The following is a 20,102-nucleotide window of genomic DNA, read 5'->3' as shown; positions in this document are numbered from 1 at the left end:
AAGATAGAGGTAGTTTTGAATACAGAAATACTGTCTTAATTTTCAGAAAGTACAAAATTTAAAGTCACATGAAACGTGGGAAAACACATGATCATGAGCTTCTATTCGTTTTTACGTCTTTCACATCACTACACTGTGAGCTCGTTGGCTACAGGAAGTGTATCTTTATAATGAAAACAATGCTTTTTATCTACTTCTGCAAGTCTTCTATCAGTCTATGTTCTGGACTATGTTTTCAAGGATATTTGTATAGCAAATGGCAAATAACATCCCCTCTGAGGGAAATGGCAGATGTGTTTCCACACCAGAATAATAAAGATAATGTCTCCTTCCAGGGAAAGGTCAGCTAAATTTGCTAGCGCCATGGTTAGAAGATTGGGAACGTCATGTTCTCTGGATTTCTCAACTGTGACACAAACACACCCAGGGTGCAGTATCCACCTATATCAAGACCTGCGGACTATGGAGTCAAGGGAAAACAATGCAAACATAAACTTCATGCTGCCTGGTGTGCCATAAATAGAAAAGTGTTTTTCCTTGAACCTAAGAATCTCATACCTTCTCACAGTATCTATGAAACTTTCCAACTAATTTGTCAGGTTAAATCCTAGTAAAATATCAGACCTTGCAAAGTTCTTGACATATCAAATCTTTGCCTGATACCTTGTGTATGAATCTTATTGGAGACAAATACAATAAATTTGAATCAAAAAGTAGTAATTGAGGCCAAGGATGTTGAATCTTGCAAGAAGGTTGAAGTTTGCATCTTTAGTAACTAAAATAGTGTCTGAGAACACTGAGTTAAAAACAAAAAAATTTTAAAAAGCCAATCAACCACAACAAATGTATTGAATAAGCAAATGAATTAGAATTCAAGTATTTTGTCTCTATTTTAAATGTTCTCCTACTGCACTATAAATACTAGTTAGACTTATAAAATATAGTTTAATTATTTTAGTAAACTTAACACTTAGGAAAAGTCTATCACTACTTGGACCTGTTAATTCTAACTGCATGTTGATAGAGGGTTCTTGATTCATTTTGCATGCCAAAAACATCATAACTGGAACATTTTATTTTTGAAAAACAACACAAAAATACGCATCTAAAATTTTCCTTTGCATATAAAATGAACTCAATGTTAATACTCTCATGTTTTCAATATAATCATTTTAATATAATCATTTCAATACATATTTTATATTTTTAACTCATATGTATAAGTGTTTATTCACATAGTAGCAAAGTCAGTAAAGTGCTGAAGATGTGCCTTTTACTGCTTTTTCTTTGTGTACTTTTGCACTGAAATTAAATTGAATGGGAATTGTGTTTTTGTCATATGTGATTCAAAGTGGAAGTGAGCCCTCCAAATAAATATGCCTGAGAGATAAGTAAGCATGTCAGTCAGGACACAAGAAGAAAATAGATTGTGGAAAGAGAACTAGACACGGTACTTAAAGAATGTGATTTCATGAGAACTACTGAAAGAGCGAAACAATAAGAATTTATATTGAATCATGAAGAACACTTGCAAAGAATGGTGAAAATACTGATGAGATTTACAAAGGAGGTCACTGAAGAGAGAAATGAGGCTTGCTCAGAACAATGAATTTTTTCTTGCAAATGAATTGTGTTCTGCAAAGAGATAGTCACTTCATATATCAAAACAGTGGTGAATGAGTTGTCTCCTTGCCATCACCAAAGGACCCCAGATAGTAAACCTTAAGATAAAAGGAGATAAGGAGGAGGAAGAGGAAAAGGAGCAGTCCTCCTGTAAGGACTCTGCCAAACCCCTTGGGAATGTGAAACAGCCCTGGGAATCTTAAGGCATATCAGAAAGTGCAGCTTCTTTGCCAAAGCAAAGTATGGAATTGTTTGGGGAAAAAAAGTTGCAAATGAAGTAAATCAGTGGGAAACAGAAAATATAAACCGTTGTTTTTAAAATGTCATCAACCAGTAGAGTCTAGAAAGACAAAAGATACAAGACCTCTAGAAATGAGGTCTGGTAAGAACTTTGTTAGTCCACATCATACAGTTGGTTTTCTGCTTGGGAGTGAATCTAGCCCAGTATACTAGGATCTACCTGCTTAGAAACTTATTTTCCAAACACAAAGAGTAAAAAAGACCCAGTAAAGGATATATTAATTATAATAATCAATGTCATAATATCTTTGCAAGTGTGTAAATCTTTTGGTAAGTAAGTAACGTGTTAAGTACAGGTAATACAGATTCAAAAATATTAAAATGCCTTCCATAATCCCATTGATAGAGGCAGAAGCCAGAGAAATTCTAGGTGGACATGGGTGGGTCTCCAGCAAAACCCCACCTTCAAGCTGAAAAGACTGAAACCCATGGCCCAAAGTGAGAATTTCTATCCCTGTTTGCTGGCTCTCTCCCAACTGGTTCTTTCTAAATAATGTCTTTTCACAAATCTAATGTTGCCTTTTCCAAAAGTATCTATGCACCACCAGCAGCCCCCACCCTGTGCCTGTAACGACCCCAGACTCAGTCAGTAGAGAGGGGGAAGCAGCTTGACTGGAAAGAATCAACTTGATTTGAGGGGGACGGCTGGACTTTAGAGGAGAGATGGCTTAACTTTGGAGAAGAACTGGCCAGATATAGCTGGACTTCAGGGAAGATTATCCACCTGTCCTTCCACCCCTCCAGCTCCCCTCTCTGCTGAGAGCCATTTTCATTGCTAAATAAAATTCTCCACCTCCACCATACTTCAACTGTCCATGTGACCTCATTCCTCTTAGATCCCGGACAAGAGCTTGGGACCCACTGAGCATGGGTACCCAAAAAAGGCTGTTACACCTGCCCCTTTGCCATCACTGTCAGAGGGCAGCTGCCCCACCTGACAAGGCAAGGTACCCACTGAGCTGATAGCATATTGCTGTCCATGGATGGTGGAGCTAAGAGAGCATTGTAACACACACTCTGGGGCTTCGGGGGTCACAGGCACCCCCACTTGGGCTCCACCATGGAGTCCGCACAGAGCCTGCTCTTGCCAGTGCCCAAAATGGCCAGCCAGATCCCATGCTCACTTGCTCACTCTCTCCTTCCCATAAGAGGTTGAATGCAGCTGTTACAATCCCCTGTTGTAAGTCCAACCCAGGGGTAGAGAAAAATTCCTGCATCACCATGATATAGAGATAATGGAATGAAATGTTAAAGTCCCATTTGTCTTTTCCCAACAATTTCATTGCAGTTGTGCTTCAGGCACTTGGTTGATTATGGGGGATAAAATGACAAACAATATAGCTATACCCATAAGGAGCACATATTTTATTAAAGAAATAAGAATTAGTTACAGGAACAACAACAACAAAAACCTAGAGATTTAAATGTGCTGTGAAAGGCACTGGTTGAATGTTGCCTAGAAATTGTTAATGTTGCTGAATAAAAAGTTACTTTAAATGGGATAGGATAAGAATATTTCTCTGAGGTGGGGAGTTCTAAATTGAGTCCTAAGGGATGAAAAAATCCACGTGAGGAAGCACGGAGAAGAATATTTTAGGCACAGGAAACACACAGGGTGACTATAGAAAATAAAAATGACAGTGTCACGAGATTAGGTTGGAGAGAGAAAAAGTGCAAAAAATATTGCAGCGTCTTGTAGACCAATCATGAATGATTGATTAATCTACCCAATTATTCAATTAATGTTTATTGAGAACCTATTATGTGCCAGGAACTATTCTAGGCATTTGGGAATATTCTCTATGGAGTTTACGTTTTACATGAGAGAAAACTGACAGTAAATGCAAAAGATAAGAACAACACTTAGTATATTGATAGGTGATCAATGCTTCGGAGAGAACTAAAACCATGAAGGGAAAGAGGGAGTAGCTCTATGGAGAATGAATTATAATTTTTATTATGATCTAAGTAGATATTACAGAAAAGGTAAGAATAAAGGCTTGAACTGATTTGGGGGTAATGTTCTGTGTTACATTTTAAACATGCTAATGAAATTGCCCTTGCAAAATTATGACAGTAAGAGAAATCTGACAGAGTTGACCCTAGCTTGCTTCTGACCTCCAAGCTGTCCTTGGTTATTCCTATAAATAGGCCAAGCTAACTTGGGGAGAAATTTAGTTTATAGGTTAACTTTGAAACAACAATAATAATAATCCCTATCAAAAACTAATTCCCTCCCTCTTCCTGCAGCTGAAAGTGCTTTGTAAGACTGAAGAGACATTATGAGATACATGTAGTTTCTATAGTTCCTTACTGCTCAGGGGCCATGTGGCCAGAGGTCACAAGATTTGTGACCTTCCCAATTGCTTTTATGGATAACATCACTACTGTAGAACCCAAGATTTTTTGTGCGAGATATTTTTTAGAGTGACCTCACCCAGACTCCTGACTCAGGACTCAACTGATCCCGTGGCCACACTCAGAGGCAGATGCAAATGGTTTTCCACACCTCCATGATTTCATCTTCAACCAAGTAGCAGTACCCATTCCCTAGTCCCCTGCTTTCCCGAGTGTACATAAAAACTCCTAACTTTGGAGCCTTTGGGAAGACTGATTTGAGTAATAACTCCAGTTTTCCCTTGGGGACTGGCCTTGCATCAGTTAAATTCTTTCTCTACTACAACACTGTGATCTTAGTGGATTGATTTTGTCTGTGCAGTGAGCAGAAAGGACCTGGAAGATGATTACATTAAGTTGAAATTATTCTTGGATACCAACTGAAAATTAGCTGGCTATAGTAAAAATTTAATTATAAGTTATGGAAATTTTCAAGATCTTTTCACTGTTTTATGAAAGAATAGCCTGGTAGATGTTTGGAGTATTGACAAGAGTGGACTTTGAAGGATGTGATCATGAAAGATTATTAATGCTGTTTGAGATTAAATATGCTGGCTTGGACAGTGGTGGCAATAGAGTTGGAGAAGAAACAGATTTTAAATATAATTTAGAAGAAGAAACTACTGAAGACACGATAGATTAGATATAAGGCACAAAAATAGGAAATATTGAAGAATGCTTTGGAAGTTTTTGGTTTGAAGAAATCAATGTTTATTCAGGGCATGACTAAACTATTAGAAGGTGAAGAATACTAAAGATATAGATTCTGTTTGGGGTGTAGTGTGGGAGGGAGCTAAAGCCAAGAGTTTCTCTTTAAAATTTACAAAATAACACATAAAAGTGAGTTGGTTAGTCAGCAAGTTACTGACAACAACTCTTTTTAAGCTCTTGTTTTGTGTCAGACACTGTTATAGTCTCTAAAGGACACAAGAAAACAAGGTAGAGAGATTTCTTGGCATCTCTAAGCCTCATATTCACTCTTCTGTAAAACTGGTGTCTACTAAATGAAGTTGTGAGGATTATATAAATAAATAACCATACTTTTCCATAGTAATTATATTTGCTAAAAGGTGACCACTGTAGAATAAAACTGAGAGTGCACATTACAGTTGGAAGAATACATTTGATTGAAATTTGAATGTTAAGTAAGTAATTGTATGCAAACAGTTAAAGACAACTCTTCCTGCAAAGTAAAATATTCTAAGGGTTTGAGGTTCACTGGGAAGAACCTGGGGTCCCATAAAACATATTTTAAAAAATTGAAGTCTAAATCTATGATTTATTACTTAGCAAGTGGCGGTTAATTGGCTTGGCTCAAACATTCTGTTTTCTACCTTTGCTTTAATTTCCTCAAGTAAGTGCACTAAATTTCCCACACTAAGATATTAGAAAATAAAGTTAATCTACACTCCTAAGGAGAATGAAATTAATTTAGTCACCAAAATTTAGTAATGTTGTTTCAGTGCTGTCAGATTGTATTTTGAAATCTGTCAAATTTCCATGCATCAGTGATCAAAAGCGACCCCTCCAGTTTGATTTCTCTAATATACAGGTAAATTTATTGACTGTTTTTCTTTAAAATGTCTTTTTTTCTCTTCTTTTATGTTTTGTTGTTGTTTTCCAGTGAACAATTTACTATTTTAAACACACTTGCTGTTACCAATGTTGAAAGCAAAAATTATGGCTTCAACTACTTTTTATTTTTCAGTGATAGGTTTATATATTTTCATTTAGAGAAAAGGAAGTTGCCTGTTATTGCCTACCATTGAAAAGCAGAATATGAGTCTAGATTTAACAACTGTATAAATCTACAAAGCATCATTCTTTTTGGTGACACTATTAGTTAAGTTGATAGGTTGGCTATCATGACTCATTTTCCATTTGTTGAGTGGGTTGAGGATTTCTTTTTGGAAAAACACTAAAAAGGGAATATTTTAAAAATGTGATTTTCTTCATATTTTTCCTGATTGATTGCACAGCTTTTTCTCTGTGGCTTCCTCCTCATCCAACATGTTTCAGCTTTAACAGCATCTTTTTAAGAGAGGCTTTCACTAATCACTCTGCAGAATTAGCTCTCTTTATACTGTGCTCTATCCATATACCTTGTTTATTCCCTCAACAACACTCATCAAAATTTCTAATTATGTTCTTATTTTTTTATCTACTTCACTTTATTATAATTTCTACAAGGTCAGAGACCATTCCTGCTTTATGCGCTTACTTAAAACATTTATAATTTTGCATAGGAATCTTTTCAGCTAGCTCTCTAGCTCCTGTCAGTCCAGTGCTGTGGTGACCAGGTCCTCATAGGCTTGTACCAACTTCATAAAAGCACCTCATCTGGGGCCCATATCCATCACTTTCCTTCTTATTATGTAGTTTTCTTATGCACCTGAGAGAGACGTGCCCGGTAAACCCACTTAGCCCTTACGCACACAAAACTTCAAACTGTGGAGAAGTCAATGCTTGTGAATTTCTGGATCAATGGGGAATAAGAGCAAAGGACAAATGCTTGTCCCTTTAATCTTCTGACTGGACAGTTTTGAAATATATGTCACAAAGCTCCTCAGAAGTCCTGAAGAACTGAACATGAATTGCTATAATCTGTGGCCAACTCGATAATGCATTCATCCATTAACCTTTTCTTCTTCATCTCATTTTCCTTTTCCCTCATCCTCACTCCCTGGTATAACATTACCAAACAAACTAACTTCTTGCAAACCATTGTCTCAGGCTCAGTTTTTATGATACCCTAAGATAGGCTATTTCAATTTAAATTAATTAAAATTAAATTAAAATTAAAAATTAGTTTATCAACAAAATCAATGCACAAAAATTACTAGCATTCCTATACATCAACAACAGCCAAGTCAAGAGACAAATCAGGAATTCAATACCATTCACAATTAACACAGAAAGAAAGAAATACCCAGGAATATAGCTAACCAGGGAGATGAAAGATGTCTATAAGGAGAGCTAAAAAACTGCTCAAAAAATCAAATGGAAAAACAAAAAAAACAAATGGAAAAACATTCTATGCTCATGATAGGAAGAATCAATATTGTTAAAATGCCCAAACTGCTTAAAACAATTTGTAGATTCAATGCTATTCCTATCAAACAACCAATAAATTCCTCACAGAACTGGAAAAAACCCCTATTTTAAAATTCATATGGAACAAAAATGAGCTGAATAACCAAGCCGATCCTAGGCAAAACGAACAAAGCTGGAGGCATCAGATTACCTGATTTCAAACTATACCGTAGAGCTACAGTAACCAAAACAGCATGGTACTGGTACAAAAACAGTCATATAGACTAATGGAACAGAATAGAGAGCCCAGAAATAAGGCCACACACCTAAAAACATCTGTTCTTTGACAAAGCTGACAAAAACAAGCAATGGGAAAAAGGATTCCCTATTCAACAAATGATGCTGGAATAACTGGCAAGCCATATGCAAAAGATTGAAACTGGACCACTTCTTTATATCACAGACAAAAATTAACTCAAGATGGATTAAAGACTTAAATGTAAAACCCAAAACTATAAAAACTCTGGACGACAACCTAGGCAATACCATACTGGACGTACAAATGAGTAAAAATTTCATGATGAACATTCCAGGAACAATTACAACAGAAGCAAAAATTGACAAATGCAATCTAATTAAACTAAAGAGCTTCTGCGTAGCAAAAGAAACTATGAACAAATGGACAACTGACAGAATGGAAAAAAAATTTGTAAACTAGCCTCTGATAACAGTCTAATATCCAGTATCCATAAGGAACTTAAACACATTAAGCAAAAATTGACAAATGGGATCTAATTAAACTAAAGAGCTGCTGCATAGCAAAAGAAACTATGAACAGATGGACAACTGACAGAATGGAAGAAAATTTTTGTAAACTAGCCTCTGATAACAGTCTAATATCCAGTGTCCATAAGGAACTTAAACACATTTGCAAGAAAAAAATCAAACAATCTCATTAAAAAATAGGCAATACGGCCAGGCACAGTGGCTTACACTTGTAATCCCAGTACTTTGGGAGGCCGAGGCAGGTGGATCACGAGATCAGGAGATCGAGAACATCCTGGCTAACATGGTGAAACCCCATCTCCACTAAAAATACAAAAAATTAGCCGGGTGTGGTGGTGGGCGTCTGTAGTCCCAGCTACTCAGGAGGCTGAGGCAGGAGAATGGTGTGAATCTGGGAGGCGAAAGTTGCAGTGAGCGAGGTGGAGCCATTGCACTCCACTCTGGGTGACAGAGCAAGACTCTGTCTCAAAAAAAAAAAAAAAAAAAAAGTGGCAAAGGACATGAACAGAACAGACACTTTTCAGAAAAAGACATACATGTGGGCAACAATCCTATTAAAAAATGCTCAACATCACTGATCATTAACGAAATGCAAATCAAAACCACCATGAGATACCATCTCACACCAGTCAGTGTTTTATTTATTTATTAAAAAGTAAAACAATAATGTGTTGGTGAGGTTGCAGAGAAAGAGGACACTTATAAACTGTCGGTGGAAGTGTAAATTATTTCAACCATCGTGGAGAACAGTGTGGTGATTCCTCTGATACCTAAAAACAGAACTATCATTCAACCCAGCAATCCTATTACTGGGTGTACATCCAAAGGAATAAAAATCATTCTTTTATAACGACATACGCATGTATATGTTCATTGCAGCACTTTCTACAGTAACAAAGACATGGAATCACCCTAAATGTCCATCAATGGTAGACTGAATAAAGAAAATGTGATGTATATACATCATAGAATATGCTGCCATAACAAAGATAGATTATGTCCTTTGAAGCAATATGATTGAAGCTATAGGCCATTATGCTTAGCAAACTAACACAGGAAAAGAAAACCAAATACTCATGGTCTCACTTATAAGTGGGAGCTAAAAGATGAGGACACATGGACACATAGAGGAGAACAACACACAGTGGGTACTTTCAGAGGGTAGAGGGTGGGAGGAGGGAGAGGATCTGGAAAAAAAAGTAATGGCTACGAGGCTTAATAAATGGGTGATGAAATAATCTGCACAACAAATCCTGATGGCCCAAGTGTATCTATGTAACAAACCTGCCTGCACATGTACCTCTGAAATTTATATATATATACTTTATATATATATTTAATATATATATTATATATTTTATATATAATATATATTATATATATTATATATTTTATATATAATATATATTATATATATTATATATATTATATATATTTTATATATATATAATATATATATTATATATATTTTATATATATATTATATATATATATATGATGATCAGTCTTACTAGCCACATTTTCTTTTTTTTTTTTCCTCTTTTTTTGAGAGAGGGTCTCTCTTTCTCTCTGTTGCCCAGGCTGGATTGCAGTGGTGCCTCCACTCAGTGCATCCTTGACCTCCTGGGCTCAAAGGAACCTCCCACCTCAATCTCCTGAGTAGCTGAGACCACAGGCACACATCACAACACCTGGCTAGTTTTTATTATTATTATTATTTTAAATTTTTTTGTAGAGATGAGGTCTCACTATGATGCCCAGGCTGGTCTCGAACTCCTGGGCTCAAGCAGTCCTCCCATCTTGGTCTCCCGGAGTGCTGGGAATATAGGCATTTGTCACGGCACCCAGCCTCACTAACTGTGTTCCTAACACTCAATAGTCCCGTGTGTCTAGAGACTACCACACTGGAAAATAAAAATTTAGAACATTTTCATAAAGGTGAAGAAGTTTATTGTATGACACGTACTAGTCCATGGACTAGTGCACCATGGAACCCCAGTAGACAAGTGAAGGCACATGTAGGTAGGAATTAATCCACCTTTCTTATCTAGAGAGATAATCAATAAGCCCGATGGTTTTGATAGGATTTTATTGACTCATCCGTTTCACTTATATCATATGTTTTAATTTCCAAGACTCACTAAATTCCAGAAGTTAACAAATGACTATGCCAATTGTGAGACTTATTGGAAGAAGATGTGATAATTTATAAAAGCAAAAATAGCATAAGAAAAAGTGATTATAGTTTTTTAAATTGAAAACAAAAGTATTCACTAAAAATGTAGAAGAGATACACTACTTCTATATTAAATACATATTTTTAGATCAGTCCATAAAATGAGTTTGACAGTCAATCTTAAGGTATAATTTAAAATAAAATTCACAGAAAAGAACAATTCAGGTTTAACCAAATAAATTGGGATGATTAATTAAACTAATTATTGGCATGACTTAAGTAATCAAACTCTTGTTTTTCTCAGAGGGTTATTTGAAATATTTCTTGAAATTAAATTTCTGCTGAATAATTTTTGCTTTGAAAAAAATACTTTTTTTTTCAAATAGTAATGTGGTGATGTCTCTAGTTGTATCACTTCAGGCATCAACATTTTAATTTGTACAAACTGGGATTTCGTTTCTGTCTTGCTTGTCGATTCTTTGAAATATTCATTATATTTATTTATATTTACAAGACGGAAATTGTTTCTTGGCTATACCACTGACCTTTCTCTTCTCTAGAGTCATGAATATTTTCACTGGAGGCGGGCGGTTCACGAAGTCAAGAGATCGAAAGCATCCTGACCAACATGGTGAAACCCTGCTTCTACTAAAAATACAAAAATTAGCTGGGCATTGTGGCGTGCACCTCTAGTCCCAGATACTCAGGAGGCTGATGCAGGAGAATTGTTGGAGACTGCAGTGAGCCGAGATCGAGCCACTGCACTCCAGCCTGGCAACAGAGCAAGACTCTGTTGAAAAAAAAAAAAAAAGCACACAAAACTCCACTTCCTTTGTAGAAATGTAAGAGTATCAGCTTTATAAACATGCCATTTCTGATTTCTAGTGTGTTTTATTAAAGTTCCCACTGAAGTCAAAGACAAGCATTCTCCCAGTGTTGACTGAATCTGAATTCTTGTAAAATTGTGACTACTTTTCTTTCTACAAAGCTGGAAATATATATTTAGATATTTAAAAAATAAATGCTTATTAAGTAGAATCATTACATTAAAAATTTTATCATATATGTTAAAAGTAACTCTATGCACTAAATGATGATTAAATATGTACAAATGAATATTAATTTGTCTCTCTTCAACTTTATGAAAAATCTTCAAAATGATGATCAATGACTTATAGTTAACAAATAGTACAAGATCTAAACTTTCAGTATAATTGTATTTATATGTTAAATATCTTTCACAGTTAAAATGAATGCATGAAGCACCCCAAAAGAAAGCTACCAAAAAGAGATACCAGTGACCCATAAATATACAAAAGCATATCCAACTTACCAATTTTCAGCAACCAATTTAGAGGGATAAAAAAGGATGATACTATAAGTGTAAGTATAGATTGATTTATGAAAGAATATTTGACAAAAAATTCAAAACAAATTTAATGCCAAAACTTTTGACCAAGGCATACCGTATGTATGTATTCTATGAAAAAAAGGGAAAATCACAGAAATACTTGTTTTAGAATATTTATTATATGATTGTTTATGATGGAGAAAAAAAGTAATGAGCTGTAATTTGCTACTTTAAGGGTCTGAATTATATAAATAGATAAAATTTTTTTTACACATGACTTTTATAGAGCCACAAAATTATGTTATGAACCTAAAACTCTTCTAAAAAGTAAAGTCTCTTTAAGTAATATTCTTATATATATTTATAAATCTGTAGATATTCTTACAATATATTATTAGGTAATTAAATCTAATTATGAAAATTGTCATGATGCCAACAATATGAAATGGTAAATAGTTAAATAGAGAGGTAAAAGAGATTGTCATGGGCCAGGCGCAGTGGCTCATGCCTGTAATCCCAGCACTTTGGGAGGCCGAGGCGGGAAGATCATGAGGTCAGGAGTTTGAGACCAGCCTGGCCACCATGGTGAAATCCCGTCTCTACTAAAAATACAAAAATTAGCCATGCATGGCGGTGGGCCCCTATAATCCCAGCTACTCGGGAGGCTGAGGCAGGGTAATCGCTTGAACCTGGGAGGCAGAAGTTGCAATGAGCCAAGATCGTGCCATTGCACTCCAGCCTGGGCAACAAGAGCAAAGCTCCCTCTCAAAAACAAAAACAAACAAAAAAGATTGTCATGATGTAATAGTAAAGTACTTTATGGCATGCTGTAAGTGCTTTGAGTTGTCTCATTTAATCATTACTGTTCTTTGCGTAGTGCGATTAATTACTGTTCTTCATGTAGTGCTATAAGTGCTTTTATATTTCCAAGACAGAGATTACTTTTTGGCTATACCACTGTCCTTTTTCTCCTTTCATTTCATTCTGTAAAACCCGCTTGAGTATTTCTTTCAAGACAGGTCTAGTAGTAATGAACTGCTTCAGCTTTTGTTTATCTGAGAAAGTCGTAATCTCTACCTTACTTTCAAATGATGATTTTGTTGAACGTAGGATATTCTTGATTGATGGTTTTATTATTTGCGCTTCGAACATGTTGGCCCACTACCTTCTGGCCTCCAAAGTTTCTGGTAAAAAAATTTGCTTATAATATTTTAAAGGATTTCTTGTATGTGACATGTCACTTCTCTCTTGCTGCCTTCAAGAATGTCTTTGTCTTTCAGAAGTTTGATTATAATGTGACTCGGTGTGTGTCTCTTTGAGTTCATGTTAGTTGTCATATGTTGCGTCTCTTGGATGTTTTTATTAATGTCTTTCATCAAATCTAGGAAGTTTTCAGTGTTTACATTTTCAGATAGTCTCTCTGTGCCTTTCTTTTTTCTATCTTCTCCTCCTAAGCAATTCCACAATCCATATGTTAGTCAGCTTGATGGTGTCCCATAGGTTCTTTAGGATCTGTTCGATTTTCTTCAAATTGTTTTTTTCATTCTGCTCCTCAGGCTCAATAATTTCCACTGACCTATCATAAAGTTCTGTATTTTGCTTTCTCAAATTTGCCTTTGAATTTGTCTAATTTTTCCTTGTAGTTACTGTACTTTTCAGATGCAAAATTTCCTTTCTTTTAGGTTTTTTCCTCTTTATTATTATGTCTGTTTTGTTCATATATTATTTTCTTAACTTTCTAAACATGTTTCTTTAGTACTTTGAGCATCTTTTGAAAGACTGCTTTAAAATCTTTGCCTAATAGATATGCCAGCAGGTCCTTTTCATGAACAGTTCTTGTCAGTTTATTTATTTATTTATTTTTCTTTTGAATGGGCAGTACATTTCTTCTTCTTTGTCAGTCTTATTATTTCTTTTGTTGAAGATTAGAAACATAAATCTGATCATTTGTAATTCTGGAAATCAGATTCTTCCATTACCCAGGGTAGGGTTTTTTTGGTTATGACTTTTGTTTACTGTTTTTGTTTTTTGATTGTTGTGAGCTGTGTCTGTGCCAAGCATCAGCTTGAAGTGTAAACTTAAGGCTTAAGGTCTTCCCAGTTCTTTTGAGCCTTGTGTTTCCCTGGGCACGTGTGGTCATTTCTAATTTTCCCTATATATAAACTTACTTTTTCTTTTCTTTTTTTTTTTTTTTTCGGCCGAGTCTCACTTTGATGCCCAGGCTGGAGTGCAATGGCGCGACCTCGGCTCACTGCAACCTCCGCCTCCCAGGTGTAAGCAATTCTCCTGCCTCAGCCTCCCGAGTACCTGAGATTACAGGCACCGCCACCACGCCAGGCTAATTTTTATATTTTTAGTAGAGACGGGGTTTCACCGTGTTAGCCAGGATGGTCTTGACCTCCTGACCTCGTGATCCACCCGCCTCGGCCTCCCAAAGTGCTGGGATTACAGGTGGGAGCCACTGCGCCCGGCCCATATTCTAGCTTTTAATGTCTGGCTCTCAAAATGAGAAAGAAAGAAAATTGAAGAGTAGGGAAAAAAGAATACAATCCCTTTAAATCTTCTGGAAGTCACTTCAGCTGGAGAAGGAGGCTTGTAACAATGGGACAGGTACAGCAACAATGGCTGCTCACCTCTTTGTACCTCTGTGATTAGAAGCAACAATCAGTAATCAGAACGCAAACCCTGAATGTTTGACATTTAGAGCCCTTTTTTGCCCACTCTGGCTGTGTGCTCCAGAAACATGTGTAGAGCTACCTGCCACAGGGCTGGAAGTGGGAAATGGGTAGCTACTACTGTGTGGAGACCTGAAATTGACAATAGTTCATTGTAATTTAACCTTCAGGCCATTTCCTGGAAGTTGGAAGCATTAGATAAATGCCTTCTATGACAAAAAAGTAACTTCTGCTGTCATTTGTCTATCTCAGTCATCTGTAACTATCTATCCATGTGTAGCAAGAGAGATGTTTTCACTTGACAATATGTTTTGGAAAGCACTCCGTATCACTACATAGATATATTTTCAATTTCCTTTCATGTGTGTATAGTAACTCATTTATAAAATGTGTTATTATTTCAATCAATTCCTTAATGAATATTTGAATTATTTCTAATATTTGCTATTACTAATAATGACACTAATAATGAAGAAATTTTGTGCATTTCAGTTAGTAGTTTTGCCTGAGTATGTTTAGATTCCTATAAACAAGTCAAGGAGTAAGTGGATATGTGATTTGCTAAACAGTGTCGAATTTGCCTTCAAAAAATTTGCACAATTTTATATTACTGCCAATAGTATGTCATTTCTGTAAACATTTAAAAACCATTTTCTACTTAAGTTTTTGGTTTTTTATATTATGATAGATGACAAATAGTCTTATCGTAGTGTTACGTATCTCCTTAAGAGTGAGATTAAGCACTTCTTTATATGTTCAGGGATGTTTGCATTTCTTTTCCTATATATTGAATTTATATATTTTTACCTATCATATCGTTGGTATATATCTTTTTTTATTTTGTAGGAGCTCTTTCTATATTAGGGACATTAACATTTGTTTGTCATATAAGATTATTATAGTTTTCCTTTTTAGGATGATTTTGTCAATTATTTTATCTGCTATAATTTCTGATTTGCAAAGTTGCTGCAAGTTATTACGCACAGATAATAATTCTCATATTTTTATGGGACTTTTAGAGAGCATGAAGTAGCTCTTTTTCTCTTATTTTTGGCATAAATTCTGTTTTTTTAGATATGAAGATTATGGCTTATTTTTCTTTTATTTGCATTTGTCAAGTTTATCATTCCCAATGTTTCTCTAAAATTTACTTATTTACTGTTTTTCATTTTAAAAAATAGATGTATGTCTCACTATGTTGCCCAGGGTAGTCTAGACCTTCTGGCCTCAAGAAATCCTGCCTCAGCACCCCAAGGTATGCGTATTATAGGCATGAAACACTGTGCTCAGCCGTGCTTTTTTTTTTTATTTTTAAACACCCAAAATAATTTAGTTTGATTTTTTATCTTTTTATTTTTGCTGAATTTTACATTGTTAACAAATCTTAAAAATTTGTATTTTAAAGGGAGAATTTGACGTATTTATATGGATAAGATAGATATTTGATCTCAATTTTGTTATAATGTTTAATTCCACTACATATGCAAAAAATTACTATGAGATTTATTTCTTTATCATTTTTATTTTGTTTTGGTATATTTTTGGAATTTAGTAAGTAAGATTTCTTGGCTGCTTAAAATCAGAGTAAATATGATTAGCAAACAACCTTTCATTCTATTTACCTTCTCTCACTCTATTAAAATATTATCACTAATATTATTTTAATTAGGGTATTTTCTTTGTTCTGTTTAGTGTGGTAAGTATAATTGAACTATTTAATTTTTTGGCATGAAATGAATTTTTTTTGCATCTATCTGACATACACCCTGCCTTTTTTTTCAAATATCTGTCAGTTCTATACTCTTACACTGTCAGATCATTTGTATTTACATAATATCCTATTGCAGTTATCTCTATTTTTAATCTTAATTTTGTATTTATATATATTCAATGTGCACAAATGACCTGTTGCAAAATCTTCAATATCTTGTTTGTTTGAAGTTCTTTCTTTGTTCCTCAGGAACACTGCCTGAATACATTAATACAAGAGGATTTTGTTGTTGTTTTGTTTTGTTTTAGATGCTTTTAGTCTTTATTTATTTTATGTACTAAAATTTCTTTTAATTGGATAGAGAAAAATACTTGATTCATATTTTCTTTCTGTTTGTAACCAATATCTTTGGTATGCAATGTTACTCTCCAGAGTTTTGATGACAGCCTGATTTTTTTTTAATATAAGAAAATTGGTATTCATGCCTAGGTTCTCAGAAATCTTTTTCTTTGTGAAGTCTAATAGTGTTGCTATGATAGTTCTCAGTGTCAATAATTCTTATTCAGTTTTTCCATGTAAATAGTATGCCCTATCAGTGAGAATATTTCTGAAATAAGATTCTTTTGACATAGGTCTATATATTTTTTAAGTTATTTTTTGATTTTGGGGGGAAGATGGAGTACTTTTGTGGGAGCTCAAATTAAACATGTGCTGAATAACTTTATCTTCTGCTTATATCATTTTCTCTTGAAGTATTTTAATGCTTTTCTCTATATCTTGAACTTTTCAATATTTTTCTATTCTAGTCTCTATTTTTCTTACAGGGCTTTATGAAGTCTATATTTGCTCTGTGTTAATTCTAATTTAGCTTTCATTTCTGTATTTATTTTTTGTTTCACCTACTTGCTTTGTCTAGTTATCAAGAAGAAATTTGGAAGATTTAAAATTATGCCATGGTTGTTATCTTCTTGGAACTGAACGTCTGGATTGCATGATAAAATATCTATTTTTTTAAAAAACTAGTCTAATTTGTAAGAATACAATTTGGGTCTTTTAAAATCACTTTTGTGTGTGTGTGATATTATTATAAACCAGAATTATCTTTTGACTTACAGGAAAACTAAAAATACATGGACCTAAAATGTATTTCCAATTCCCCTAATTTTTATAGCAAAATAAGGAGTCACCCCAACAATGTGATGAGATAGACAATTATTAAAAATTTTTAGATTCTCATTAAAGAAAAAAAATGATGCTTTTTTTTTTTTTTTTTGAGATGGAGTCTCACTTTGTTGCCCACGCTGGAGTGCAGTGGTGAGATCTCACTTCACCGCAACCTCAGCCTTTCATGTTCACAGCAATTCTTGTGCCTCAGCCTCCCGAGTAGCTGGGATAAAAGGAGTGAGCCACCTCGGCCAGCTAATTTTGTACTTTCAGTAGAGACAGGGTTTCATCATGTTGGCCCGGCTAGTCTCTAACTCCTGACCTCTGGTGATAGGCCCGACTGGGCCTCCCAGCGTGCTGGGATTACAGGCGTGAGCCACCGCACCCTGTCACAAAAGCAATTTTCAGGTAGAACTAGGAACTCCCTCTCCTAGATTTTCTTCTTTTGATTCTGCACATTTCCTCAATTCTTTCCTTTCCAGATAAATTAATATTAGCTAACTTAAATTGCCATGGACCATGAAAATACATACTTTCTTCCCACCCCTTCCCGCACCCCGCAAGTGGTAACTACCTTCCCTAATTTACTAAGGATAATGAAGTCACATTTACTAAGGATAATGAAATCAGCATATTCTCAGCATATGTAATGAACAGAGTCTCAATCTTCTGGCCTTTAAAATCTGCCTATTTTAGTCGGCAAATAGCAAAACATTCAAGTACTAAATTTTCAGTTTGTTTCTAATGGCAATATACTTATATACTTAGAATTTACTTTGATGAAGTTTTTAGAGAATTGAAGTATCATTTTGTCATGAAGGAAAAATATGATTCAGCATCGGTAAAACTATTTTTCCACAATCCCTCTATAACTGACAATATTCCAGACAGAGACAGATTTAGATAATTTGAGACAGGTGCAACAGTATGCGTATAATAAATCTGTTCTATACAGACAATGATGTGGATCAGATGGGCCAGGTGTCAAGAACATAACAGCCAGACAGGTTTGGAACAGAAGACAGGTTTGGAGCTGATACTCTTTGAACAGGTGCAGGATATCTACAAATATAAAAAATATCCATCTATTGAATGGAACATGTCCAGTTGGAATCAGTACTGATTCGTAACAGATGAAACTCCAGCAAACACCTGTTAGGCTTTTAGAAGAGAAAATATGTTGGTGGTGTTAACTAGGTTGTCAAATAATTATAAAAAGCTATTATAAGACAACTGAAATTTAATTTTAATTTTCCTTTAATGCATCACCATACTGAACTACTTCCCCTAGAGATACGGGTGATATGAACTTGCCATCAGCAAAGCAACTTCTCCACAGGAGACACTGGAGGACATCATTTAACATAAATTGGAACGTCACATTTATGGGCAATACCATAAATTGCTTCACCAAATACAACTGAATTGGCTGACTTAACCACATTCTTATAATTGCTATTCAATTCAATGATAGAATTGATTTATCTGGTAATGTATTAGCTCACAGAAGGTTGCAAATTGGATGTCAGATTTTCATTTTAAATCAAATGTGTTGTTTGTTTATGATCAAATAACTTGTCAACACAACCAAAATAAATAAAGACAAAAACAAAATAAACAACTAAAATAACTCACACACATATAGAGATATCAGTCTGAGGTTATTATATGTCAGTTCTTGTCTAAAAATTGGAACAAAAGTATGGTTATGCTTGAAAGTACTCTAAAATATTTCCAGTTGTAGAAATTGGTATTTAATTTGAAGATAAAAATAAATGCTTTATATTTATCATTATATATTGTAATGCCTCAGCGTTACATGCATATGATTTACAAAAGAAAATATATAATAGCTACCAATAAAAAACCCTTAATATTGTGTATAATTCACTTGAAAGATGAAAAATCAAGCTTCCCCCTAAAAAATTATATGACAAGTACATATGCAAATGTGTCTGAAATGATACTAATTCATTTCCAAATAATTTAATTTAAATTTTGAAAACATTTTGAGGATGTTATAACAGCAATATAGATGAATTTGGAATCTTTATTCTAAAACTGAAATTGAGACCATAACCTTTTCAGAGCAATATCAAATATTTATATTTAAAAATACTTACCAGGTAAAAGTGTGCCCACACCTAAAATGCACAAAGTGATTAAATATGCACACACTTGTCATTCATGTCAGTTTGTAATAGATGTCTAAAATATCATTTCTTTAGCATACACAGTCTTCAAATCTCTGAAAAAAAAGTGAATCACAAGGCCAACCAATTTAAGTGAGTATAATTCTTGCAAACAATTAAGAGTACATCTACCAAAGCAGTGTTTAGCATCTGAGTTATCTCTGCTGTCATTTCTTTTCCTTAAGTTAATTATTTTATAAGTTAGAAAATGAATATCAGAAACTTTACATGAAGACAGTCATAGAAATTTAGCATAGGCCTAGGTTAAGTAGCCAAAACATCTCATCACAGTCCATTGCTATTAGAAGGTCCAGAATGGAACCCAAGTACAACATAATAAATTAGCAACTATATATAGGCATAAAATTGGTGCTATTTGTAGTGTCCTATCTGCACACACTTTCAAATGTATAATTTATTTTTAATATGCTTAAAAATATATGCATTTTTGAAGGAAGCATATAATAATCCCTAATAAATACACTGAATGTTCTTTGAGATCTATGGCGTTCCTTTATTTTAAATCTTCACTTCTTTGTATTAATGTGCTTACCACCAAACTATTGTCTCAAGTTACTTTAAAAAAAATCATTTAGCCTGTTATATTTATTACTTTAATTAATATTCAAATACTAATTTTTAAAACGTTTTCAACTTTAAACTCCAGTAATCTCTGAATATGATTAAATGGCAA

At 34.5% G+C, this 20,102-nt stretch overlaps 1 long non-coding RNA gene across 7 annotated transcripts in view; it reads right to left on the bottom strand.

Annotated features, from left to right (window-relative positions):
* LOC105374191 (uncharacterized) overlaps window positions 1–20,102 on the bottom strand; it is a 237,185-nt gene that overhangs the window by 89,515 nt on the left and 127,568 nt on the right. The window lies entirely within an intron of this gene.

This window comes from Homo sapiens, chromosome 3 (genome assembly GCF_000001405.40).
Source record: "Homo sapiens chromosome 3, GRCh38.p14 Primary Assembly".
NCBI lineage: Eukaryota > Metazoa > Chordata > Mammalia > Primates > Hominidae > Homo > Homo sapiens.
The sequence above is the reverse complement of the archived record's forward strand: the minus strand, read 5'-3'. Positions and strand labels throughout refer to the sequence as shown.